This window comes from Homo sapiens, chromosome X (genome assembly GCF_000001405.40).
Source record: "Homo sapiens chromosome X, GRCh38.p14 Primary Assembly".
In the NCBI taxonomy this organism is placed as follows: domain Eukaryota; kingdom Metazoa; phylum Chordata; class Mammalia; order Primates; family Hominidae; genus Homo; species Homo sapiens.
The window spans coordinates 47,985,766-47,998,300 of record NC_000023.11 but is presented as its reverse complement, the minus strand read 5'-3'; the positions used below and the strand labels follow the sequence as shown (position 1 = coordinate 47,998,300).

The 12,535-nt window shown below is 41.9% G+C and overlaps 1 protein-coding gene across 3 annotated transcripts in view; it reads left to right on the top strand.

Annotated features, from left to right (window-relative positions):
- ZNF182 (zinc finger protein 182) overlaps positions 1-12,535 on the top strand; it is a 29,139-nt gene that overhangs the window by 5,689 nt on the left and 10,915 nt on the right. For 2 of the 3 annotated variants that reach the window (NM_006962.2, NM_001178099.2), the window contains exon 4: positions 9,684-9,777. The exons of the other annotated variant lie outside the window; for it this stretch is intronic. In NM_006962.2, the coding sequence (NP_008893.1) occupies positions 9,706-9,777 (72 nt within the window). In that variant the 5' untranslated portion in view covers positions 9,684-9,705. The remainder of the gene's footprint in view (positions 1-9,683; positions 9,778-12,535) is intronic. 3 annotated transcript variants of the gene reach the window in all.

The following is a 12,535-nucleotide window of genomic DNA, read 5'->3' as shown; positions in this document are numbered from 1 at the left end:
TTTCTTGGTGAATGTTCCATGTGCATTTGAAAAGAATGTATATAAAAAATTAGCTAGGTGTGGTGGCACGTGCCTGTAGTCCCAGCTACTCGGGAGGCTGAGGCAGGAGAATTGCTTGAACACAGGAGGCGGAGGTTGCAGTGAGCCAAGATCACGCCATTGATTGCACTCTAGCCTGGGCAACAGAGCGAGACTCTGTCTCAAAAAAAAAAAAAAAGAGAAAAGAAAAGAATGTATATTCTGTTGTTTTATAGTGGCGTGTTTTGTATATCTCAATTGCATACAGTTGGTTGATGGTGTTTAGTTCTATATTCTTGCTGATTTTCTGTCTACTGGTTCTATCAGTTACTGAGAAAAGAGTATTGAGTATACAGTTATTATTGCAGATTTGCCTGTTTCTCCTGTCAGTTGCATCAGTTTCCCTTCATATATTTTGAAGCTCTGTTGTTAGATGCATACACTTTTAGGAGTGTTGTATCTTTTTGGTGAATTAATTAATTCTTTTTTTTGAGATGGAGTCTTGCTCTGTCACCCAGGCTGGAGCGTAGTGGTGCAATCTTGGCTCACAGCAACCTCCCCCTCCCGGTTTCAGGTGATTCTCCTGCCTCAGCCTCCTAAGTAGCTGGGGTTACATGTGCCTACCACCACGCCCAGCTAATTTTTGTATTTTAGTAGAGACGGGGTTTTGCCATGTTGGCCAGGCTGGTCTTGAACTCCTGGCCTCAAGTGATCTGCCCGCCTCGGCCTCCCAAAGTGCTGGGATTACAAGTGTGAGCCACTGTGCCTGGCCGGTGAATTTTTTTATCCTTATGTCATTCATTATCCTGGATGAGTTTTGGCTCTGAAGTCTACTTTGGCTGTTATTAAATATGGTCACTCCAGTCTTCTTTGGTTAGTATTTCAATGGTGTACTTTTTTCCATTCTTACTTCTATCCCACCTGTATTATTATATTTGAAGTATGTTGTGTTTTTTTTTTTTTTTTAGCAGGATCTCCCTCTCTCACCCAGGCTGGAGTGCAGTGGCATGATCTCAGCTCACTGCAGCCTTGACCTCCCGGGTTTAAGTGATCCTCCCACCTCAACCTCCCAAGTAGCTGGGACCACAGGCACACACCACCACGACTGGCTAATTTTTTGTAGAGATGGGGTTTTGCCATGTCTCCCAGGCTGGTCTCGAACTCCTGAGCTCAGGTGATTCGCCTACCTCGACCTCCCAAAGTGCTGGGATTACAGGTGTGAGCCACCGTGCCCGGCCAGTATATTCTTTTAGACAGCATGTAGCTGGGTATATTAGTCTGCTCGGGCTGCCATAACAAAGTACCATAGATTGGGTGGGTTAAACAACATAAATTAATTTTCTCACAGTTCCAGAAGCTGGGAAGTCCCAGATTAAGGTACTGACTGATTTGGTTTTAGCCTCGGGCACTCTTTCTGGCTTGCAGATGGCCACCTTCTTGCTGTGCCCTCCCATGGCCTTTCCTCTGCTCACACACACAGAGAGCAAGCTCTGATGTCCATTTCTCTTATATGTACACCAGTTCTGCTGGGTTAGGGCCCCACCCTTATGACCTCATTTAACCTTAATTGCCTTTATAAAGGCCCAGTCTCTAAATACAGTCACATTGCAGGTTGGGGCTTCAATGTATGAATTTGTGGAGTGGGAGTACAATTCAGTCCATAACAGTTGGGTAATATTTTTTTAATCCATTTTGAAAACTTCTTCCTTTTAATTGGTACATTCAGTCCATTGACATTTAATGCAATTATTGATACTCTTGGATTTAGGTATTTACCACTTTATTATTTGTTTTCTGGTTTTTCTCCCTTTTTATTCCTTTGTTTCTCATTTTCTGCCTTCTTTTGGGTTATTTGAACATTTTCTTAGATTACATTTTTATTTGTCTATTGTGTTTTTTACTATATCTATTTACAGAGTTACATAGTTTTTTTTTTGGTGGTTGCCCTGCAAATTACCATATATATTTAAGTTTACACAACATGCTTAGCATCAATATTTTACCTCTTTAAATGGAGTGTGTGAACCTTACCATCTTATAAGTCCCTTTTCCCTCTCCCCTTTATGTTTTTGTTGTCTTATGTATTAATATTACTTTCACATACATTGAAATTTCTACCAGAAAATGTTATTTCTCTTCCAACTGTCAAATGTATTTTAAAGAACTCAAGGATAATCTATTCTATTTACCCAGATTTTTACCACTTTGATGTTCTTCCTTCATTGTTCACAATCTTAAGTTTCCTTCTGATATCAATTGCCTGTTATGAAGAACTGCCTTTGGCAGTTGTTTCAGAGCAAGTCTGCTGGCAACATAGTCTTGGTTTTCCTTCCTTGAGAATGTCTTCTTTCACCTTCATTTCTGAAGGAGATTTTTACTGCATATAGATTTTTCAGTGGACTGTTGTTTTCTTTTGGAACTTTCACAATGCTGTTCCACTTCTTCTGCACACCCTGGTTTCTCATGAGAAATCCACAGTCATTTAAATAGTTGTTCTCCTGTAAATAATATGTTGTTTTTCACTTGTCCTTAGTTTTCAGCAGTTTGGTGATAATGTGTCTGAGTGTGGATTTCTTTGGGGTTATCCTGTTTTGGACTTGCTGAGCCTCTTGAACATATAGATTTTTGTCTTTTGCCAAATTTGGGGAAGTGTTCAGGAATTATTTCTTCCAGATATTTTTCTGTACTATCCTCTTTCTCCTCTCCTTCTGGAACTCTGATGGCATGAATTTTGGACCTTTTGGTATTGTCCCAGAGGTCCCAGAATCTGTTCATGTTTCTGCAGTGTTTTTTCTATTTTTGGGATTAGGTAATTTTTATTGGTTTACCTTGAAGTTTACTTGCTCTTTTCTCTGATATCTCTGTTGTGTTGGGTCCATCAATTGGGGATTTATTTCAGTTATTATCTTTTTCAGTTTCAAAATTTTCATTTGGTTCTTTTTTTTATTTTTGAGACAGCGTCTCGCTCTGTCGCCCAGGCTGGAGTACAGTGGTGCAATCTCAGCTCACTGCAACCTCTGCCTCCTGGGTTCAAGCGATTCTTCTGCCTCAGTCTCCCAAGTAGCTGGGACTACAGGTGCACACCACCACACCCAGCTAATTTTTTTGTACTTTTAGTAGAGATGGGGTTTCACCATGTTGGCCAGGATGGTCTCGATCTCTTGACCTTGTGATCTGCCCGCCTCAGCCTCCCAAAGTGCTGGGATTACAGGCGTGAGCCACCGCGCCCGGCCTCTTCTGCTGGTCTTATAAAAGAAATGGAACTCTTTCTCATTGCAGATGGAACAGTTGCACACAAACTACTCAGGAATCTAAAAAAAATGTGAATATAAAAAGGCACAGTTGGCCAGGTGCAGTGGCTCACGCCTGTAATCCCAGCACTTTGGGAGGCTGAGGCAGGTGGATCACCTGAGGTCAGGAGTTCAAGACCAGCCTGGCCAACATGGCGAAACCCTGTCTCTACTAAGAATACAAAAATTAGCTAGGTGTGGTGGCAGGTGCCTGTAATCTCAGCTACTCAGGAGGCTGAGGTGGGAGAATCGCTTGAACCTGGGAGGCGGAGGTTGCAGTGCGCAGAGATCACACCACCGCATTCCAGCCTGGGCAACAGAGCGAGACTCCATCTTACACACACAAAAAAGTATGATTGGTTAAATCACCCTCTGGAGAGAAGGGGACTCATCTTCACAGTTTGCTAAATGTCCCTAGGGAAGTTTGTCTCTCATTCTTTCTCTTTCCACCCCTTCCTCTGATTCCCTTTCTCCTCCCTATGTATTTATATCGAATTGGTCATTTTTCCGCTCTGTTGTTCCTGGTTCTTTCTTGGTGCTTTGAGATTCATTCTTTTATCACTTCCCTTGTGTTAGAAGAACTTCCTTTAGGCATTTTCTTAAGAGTAGGTCTGCCAGAGACAAATTCTTTCAGTTTTCCTTCACCTGAAATGTCTTAATTTCCCCTTCATTCCTGAAGGATAACTTTGCCAGATATAGAATTGGTGGTAGACAGTCCCTTTTTGTTAGCACCTGAAAAATATTATGCTACTTTTTTCTAGCCTCCATGGTTTTTGTTGAGAAATCTGCTATCATTCAAATTGTTTTTTTGTTGTTGTTGTTTATTTTTTGTTTTGATTTTTTACCTATAGGTAATGCATTGTTTTTCTCTGGTTGCTTTCAAAATTTTTTCTGTTTCTGTAGTTTTCAGAAGCTTAATTTTGCCATGGCTTGGCATGAATTAGGGATTTGGTCAGCTTCTTGAATCTGTAGGTTTATGTCTTTTGCCAAATTTGGGAAGTTTTCAGGTATTATTTCTTCAAATACTCTTGTTACCACCTTCTGTTTCTCCTCATCTCCTTCTGGAATGGCAATGATATGAATTTGGATCTTCTGTTATAGTCCCATGTATCCCTGAGATTCTGTTCATTTTTTTTTTCAGTTTTCTTTTTCTTGTTTTTCAGATTGAGTAAATTCTATTGATCTTTTCTCAGGTTCACTAATTCTGTCCTTTGTCATCACCACTAAACTATTGATCTCATTCAGTGAGTTTTTATTTGCTTGTTGTATTTTTTGGTTCTATAATCTCCATTTTGTTCTCTGTTTTATAACTTCTGTTTCTTTGCTGAGATTTTGTTTTTATCTCAGAAGAACTTGTAATCATGGGAGCATTTTTGTGTTGGCTGCTTTAAATCTTTGTAAATTGTTACTGGGCTGAATTGTGTCCTCCTCAAATTCCTACATAGGTACTAGAATTAGTGCAGAACCTCCAAGTTAAGGGCTCATTCCCACAAGACTACCTCCACTTCAGATGCCAGCCACGAGTGGGGTGCCCAGGCTACCTGTGTTTCTGCCTGGTTGACTACAAATTCAGAGATTCTCATGTACCCTTCAGGTTCAGTAATTTGTTAGAACAACTCACAGAACTCAGGAAAGCACTTATGATTATTAGTTTATTATGGTGGATACAACTCAGGAACAGTCAAATGGAAGAGTTCTACAGAGCAAGGCATGGGAGGGTACAGGGTTTCCTTCTGTGCCCTCTCTGGGTGTGCCGCCCTCCCAACACAGTGTGTTCACTGAACCAGAAGCTCCCTAACCCTGCCATTGAGAGGTTTCTATGGCAGTTCCATAACATGGGCATGATTGATTAAATCATTGGGCATTGGTGATTAACTCAGTCTGTAGCCCCTGTTCCCTCCCTAGAGGTCTGGGGGTGGGCCTGAAAGTTCTAACCTTCTAATAATGTGCTTGGCTTTAAATTCTAACCCCATCCTGGTGGGGCACCAGGGAATGTGGTTGTGGGTGTTTACAAATGTGCCTTTCAGAGAATTCTTCTTTATTCTGGTGAGCAGCTTAGTGCCTGTGTCTGACCCATGACCAGGTGTCCCTCTCCCAGGAAACCTGTTTATTCTGGCAGACACCCTTGTGGCTCTTGTCTGATCTGGGTCAAGCTTATTCCTACCAAGATAGCCACTCTCTAGGAGAGCCCTGACTGGGAGAGAAGTTAGGTTTGGGTGTGTGGGGCAGGTGAGACACAGAGGAGGCAACTCAACAGAACACAGAAAGTCACGGAGGTAGCACATTCCTCACAGGTCCAGACGGAAGAGGGCAGCACACCTCACAGGGCCAACGGGACACAGAGAGCTGACCATGACACATGTGCTCAGCCAGCGAGTGGGGACAGAGAGGGGCACGGGGGGACAGACCTGTGGGGTGAAGCCTTTTCATGGAGAGTTTTAACTGATGGGTTTGGAGCAAGCAGGTGCAAGTTCCATGGAGTCACGCTGTGACTGGAAGGTGGTCAGTGTGGCATATCTGTGCAGTCCATGTGGGGTGTGGGGATCAGAGGGGCGAGTCAAGTGGGTTGTGTCTAGCTGTCCCCTAGGGAGGTGGTCACCAGTAGGTGGTTATATAAGGCTGATATCTGAGTCGACCACATTTAGGAACAGGGAGGAGATGGAGGACTGGAGACTGTGTCAAAGGTGACTGAGTCCTGCTTCTTGTTTGAGAAAGTCCAACTTATATTCAAAGTGGATGCTAAAGCAACATAAAATTCCAGGAATTCACTACACAGGGGACAAACAGTGCTTCCTTGGCTGGGTGCCTGTTGTGTCCAGATTTTCCCCTGCTGCATCTGCATGGTGTCTGTTCTTTGGGTGAGAGAGCCAATTTTTTGGCCAGCAGGGATGAAGAACATTTCCTGGCTGGGTGCTTGTTGTGTGGGGATCCCCCTGCCGTCCTACCTGACTGCCAGGTGTCTTGAAGTGGAGAGGGAGTGTCTAGATAGGGGAAGGAAGTCTCAGGCTCAGTGGAGAAGAAGAAGCACTTCCGGTGGCTGCTTATTGTCAGCAAGGCTCCAGATTAATCTCCTTTGCTGGTGTCACAGGCTTGTCTGGTGTTGTTGGAAGGACTCCTGCTGATTTGGGGGAAGACAGAGACTACCTAGGCTGTGTTCTGTTGCTAGGTTGGGGGTTTAGAGACACAGGCCTGGGTTGCCTTCCGTTGTTGGGGTGGGGGGATCATAAGATGTCCTGCCACTGTTTAAGTCCTTGGGTCCCTAACCTGTGTGCTTTCCACTTTCCTCCTTTCAGAGTCCTCTTTTGGTTGTCTCTTGCATCACTTTCAGGGTTTATAGTTGTACTTAGTGGGGAAGAGCAGGGAAAGAGGAGTCTGTGCCATCATGTCAGGACTAGAAGTCTACCATTTCTATCTAATATCCATTTATATGGAACAAGGAAGGCTTGTAAGTATAGTTTGCCACCTCGTGGTTTTCACTCAGTGTGGTAATTTAACAAATACTCATCAAATGAGTAACCAAAGTGTGGTCACCTTTTCCTTCTTAACAGTTGCGGAAGATTATTGTATTAGTCATTTCAGGCTGCCATTACAAAATACCAGAGATTGGGTGGTTTAAACAACAGAAATCTGTGTTCTCACAGCTGTGGAGGCTGGAAGTCCAGGATCAAGGCACCAGTAGGGTTGGCTTCTGGTGAGGCTGCTCTTCCTGGCTTGCTGAGGGCTGTCTTCTCGCTGTGGCCTCACATGGCCTATCTTCTTTGGGTGCAGAGAGAGAGAGAGGGACCTCTGGTGTCTTTTTCTCTTCTTATAAGGACACCAGTCCTCTTGGATGAGGAACCTACCCTTATGGCCTTATTTAACCTTAATTACCTCCTTAAAGACTCTCCCTCTACATATAGTCACATTGGGGGTTAGGATTTCAACATACGAATTTTGGGGGGACATAATTCAACCCATAACAATTATAATTCAAGCATAAACCATCATTTTTCTTTTATTTGTTCCCTTATTGATAGAATTTTGGGGTGCTTCCACTTTTGTTTTATCACAGAGAGTTAGGAAGGGAATGAATGTGCATGTCTGTATTCTTGTGGAGACATTTCTGTAGGACAGATTCCTATAACTGGAATTTCTGAAATGAAGAAATTGTTTTAATTTTTAACAGGACTTGCCAAATTCTCTTCTAAAAAGGCTTAACAAGGTCATGCTGTCACCAAGAGTGCAACAGAATGCTTGTTTCTGAATATTGTCCCCACAAGCATATATTATCAGTGTTTTTATACCTTGCCAATCATATAATTGATGGATGATTGCTCATTTTCATTTATTTATTAATGAGGTTGACCAAATTTACACATGTGCTAGCCACTTCCTATAGAGAAGCTGCGAGAATAGTTCAATGAATGATTATATAGCTTTCATCTAGATTCACCAATTTTTGACCTTTTCCCACATTTATTTTTACTTTATTTCTGTATGTATATGTGTATGTGTGTGTCTGCATACACACATATGTATGCATTTATTTTGGGGGTGACAGTTTGAGAGTTAATGGCAGACACAATAGCATAATGACAGCTTACTCCTGCTACCCACTTCAGATAGTCTTTATGTTAGTCATCACTGTGCAGACCCTAATGAGGCTGTATGTTGAGCCCTGTGTAGCCCAGTACCTGTCCATTAATTTTTTAGTGAGAAGCCCGTCAGTCTCTTAGAGACCCCGTTATTGAGTAACCAGACGCGGATTTTTGGAGGAAGGCTCTTGCCCATATTATTTAGGGGAGGGTGCCTGATTTGTATTTTTATTGATATTGTAGATATCAACAAAAATATATTTGTAGATGTTGGTGATTAATTTTTATTATTTTGTCAGTTGCTGTTTTTTTTAATGCCTGAGAATTTGTCAGCTATGATTTGGATTTTGTTGTGGACTAGTTGACCTGACCTCCTGATGAAGGCTACTCTGGCTCAATAATCAGCAGGAATGGCATGAACAAACCTAGAAATTTGAATTAATGATCATCATTCTCCAGTGAAGGTGCCTGGCCTAGGAATACAGATATTTGTAAGAGTGGGGCTGGCCAGTCTCTTTAGAGATTATAACGTTCTGGCTATATATTCCAAGTCTGATGTGGGGGCAGATTTCTCCTACAAAGCCTGACAGCTGAAGTCTTTGTAATTGTCATTGGTCAGGCCTTAATAATTAAAAATCACACATAGAGTTTTAGCCAGGAGCTGGCCTCCTCAATTTCTTAAGAGCAAGGACATTCTCCTATATCATTAAATTACACTGAACACACTCAGAAAGTTAACATTGATATAATACTATTATGCAGTGTATATTCTTTATATTTTAATCTGGAAGACTTCCTCAGCATTTCTTTGTTTTTCATGTCTGTGACATTTTTAAAGCACATAGGCCATCCGTATTGTAGAACGTCCCTCACTTTAGATTCCTCATGGTTTGATTGAGGTCATGCATTTCTGGTAGGAAAAAAATGTAAGTGATGTATCCTTGTATCACATCAGGGGCATATGATGTCAATTTGTCTTTTTTTTTTTTTTTGAGACGAAGTCTCACTCTGTTGCCTAGGCTGGAGTGCTGTGGCGCCATCTCAGCTCACTGCAACCTCCACCTCCCACATTCAGGAGATTCTTGTGCCTTAGCCTCCCAAGTAACTGGGATTACAGGTGTGAGCCACTGCGCCTGGCTAATTTTTGTATTTTAGTAGAGATGGGGTTTCACTATGTTGGCCAGGCTGGTCTTGAACTCCTGGCCTCAAGTGATCTGCCCATCTCAGTCTCCCAAAGTGCTGGGATTACAGGTGTGAGCCACCACACCCAGCCCAATTTGTCTCATTTTTTATGATATTAACTTTGATCACTTGTTTCTCTCACTAACCACGTTTCTGTGCTGTAACATTACTATTTTTCCTTTGTAATTAATAACTAATTTGTGGATGATACTTTGAGGTTACATAATTGTCCCATTCTTCATCAAACTTTTCACCAATTAGTATTATTATCCATTGATTAATCTTGCCTGAATCAGTTATTGTGATGGGTGCCAAATGACAATTTTCTAACTCTTATTATTTCTTCTGTATTTATTGTCATTTTACTATGAGGCAGACCTTCTTTATCTCCTTTATTTATTTATAATCTGGTATAGAAAATTTTTATTTTTATGGGTTTTTATTTTAGTCAGTGAATATTACTGTCATTATTTATTTCGATGCTCAGTTGTCCCTGAGTTGGCCAGTGAGAGTCCCTTTAAGCTGGCTTTTGTGTCGTTTTGAGACATCCCTATAATTTTCTGAACATTTTCTTTAGAAAAAAAAAGTTATAAAGAAAAGTGGTTTATTTGGCTCACAGTCCTGCAAGCTGTACAAGAAGCATGACACCAGCATCTGCATCTGGTGAGGACTCAGGAAGCTTCTACTCATGGCAGAAGGCAAAGAGGGAACAGGTATGTCACATGGCAAGAGTGGGAGCAAGAGTGGGGGAGGGAGGCACCAGACTCTTTAACAACCGGATCTCGTCTGAACAAATAGAGTGAAAAGTCACTCATCACCAAAGGAATGGCACCAAGCCATTCATGAGGGATCCATCCCCATTACCCAAGCACCTCCCACCATGCCCTCCCTTTAACACTGGGGATCATATTTTTTTTTTTGAGGCAGTCTCTCACTCTGTTGCCCAGGCTGGAGTGCAGTGGCGTGATCTCAGCTCACTGCAACCTCCGCTTCCTGAGTTCAAGCGATTCTCATACCTCAGCCTCCTGAGTAGCTGGGATTACAGGCATGCACCACCACTGCCAGCTAATTTTTGTATTTTTAGTAGAGATGGGGTTTCACCATGTTGGCCAGGCTGGTCTTGAACTCCTGACCTCAAATCATCCACCCACCTCAGCCTCCCAAAGTGCTGGGATTACAGGCATGAGTCACCACACCCAGCCAGGATCACATTTTAACATAAGATTTGGAGGGAGAGATAGCCAAACTATATCAGTCCTGAAAGTGGAATTTTAAGGCTTTGGTAGGTTTGGTCCATTTCTGAGCTCTGAGCGTTTTCTTATTTTCTGGCACAAGATGTTCCAGCCTTCATCTTTAACTTTACTTGCCCTGGAATCAGCCATTTCTCCAAGGAGCTCTGGTTCCTGTTAATGGATAATTATATTTAGAAACCAAAATCTGGGTGCTAGCTGTGCTCATTGCTGCTGGGGCATTGTTACTTCTAGGCCCTTTCGGTGAACAGAGATGTGTGTATGTACATATATATCTACATCTGTATGTCTACATCTATATGTGTACACACATACACCACACACACATACAAACATACTTTGAGTTCATACAGCATCCTGGGAATCTTAGTCATCCCTCGTTGCATATTTGCATCTCCCTTCTTTAACAGTGAGAGCATTGGTTCCTAGCATCAATAATTCATTCATTTGTTCAGTCTACAATATACAGAAAGTAGAGTCAGAATTGCTGCACCCACATCACTGTGGAAAACCAACCTACTGAATATAATACACAATTTGTTTTTATGCCTTTTATCTTTAGACTAAGGATAATGTCAGGATCTCAACCTCTGCTTTCTTATTGTTTCCATTTATTTGTCTGGTCGACCATTGCCTATCCCTTTACTTTTAGCCTTCTCGAATCACTTTGTTTTAGTTGTATTTCCTGTATACAACATACAGCTGGATCTTGCTTGTGAGTCAATCTGGAGATCTTCTTTTAATAAGCCTTCTTAAGGCCTAATAACATTAATTGATTTGGCTGGTATGTTTGGTCTAAACTCTGACATGTTGTTTTATTTTATAATCATTATGTATATTAAGTTGCAATGACTTCTGTATTAGTCAAGGTTCTCTAGAGGGACAGAACTGATAGGATAGATGAATATATGAGGGGGATTTTATTAAGGAGTATTGACTCACACGATCACAAGGTGAAGTCCCACAGTAGGTTTTCTGCAAGCTGAGGAGCAAGGAAGCCAGTCTGAGTCCCAAAACCTCAAAAATAAGGAAGCCAACAGTGCAGTTTTCATTCTGTGGCCAAAGGCCCTGGCAAACCACTGGTATACGTCTAAAAGTCCAAAAGCTGAAGAACTTGGAGTCTAATGTTTGAGGACAGGAAGCATCCAGTATGGGAGAAAGATGAAGGCCGGAAGCTCAGAAAGCCAGCTCCTCCTACCTTCTTCTGCCCGCTTTATTCTAGCTGCCCTGGCAGCTGATTAGATGGTACCCACCCAGACTGAGGGTGGGTCTGCCTTTCCCATTCCATTGACTCAAATGTTAATTTCCTCTGGCAACACCCTCACAGACACACCCAGGAACAATACTTTGCATCCTTCAATCCAATCAAGTTGACACTCAATATTAACCATTATAAGTCTACCCCTTATCAACTTAAAACTGTACACATCTCCTGAAATCACACATAAATCTTCAAGTAAAGACAATAATAAGGTCGTAATTATGCCTAACATAATACAGCTATCCCTCGTACAACTGGAAGCACACTAATTCTTAGCCTAATTGCTGTTACATAAAGTTAACAACACTTAAGTGCTGATATGAAGTCAATAAATCTTATGTCACATGATAAAGGAAAAAGGAAATAACATGAAGATATTTTCTTAATACAGGTGTAAACATGCACAGACATATTTTTAACAAAATAAGGAGGAAATCCTCATGACAATTACAGTCCTCGTTTCTGCAACTGCTCATGTGGTCATAGCTGATATTGATAACTTCCTTCTTCTACTATCCATTCTGTATTCCCCTTGCCTTCAGCAAATACCTCAATGGATTGTGGTGTTTTACCCAGTAGAGTGACCCAAACCTTCATTCCTGAAGAGTCTGGGCCATTTGTAATCCTGCCTGGATTGGGTTGGTGTAGTTTCCCATTGACTTTAATCACAGGGCATGGTAATACTAAGAGATGCCCTAAGGGATCTCCTGTATTCCACACATACTCTTCTTTACCTCCGTTGTGGAGTATTAGACTGATTTCATCTTGATAGTGTGGGTCAGTCACCCCAGCCAACACTATAACTCTCTTTGTAGCCTGTTGACCTACAGGTAGGAGGAGCCCAAAGTAGCCAGGTGGCAGTCTTAACTTCCAGTTTAATGGAATCATTGTTGTGTCTCCTGGTGGCAGCATTCCTCCCTCTGGAACTAAGATCTCTAGGCTGGCAGAACATAATGTTGC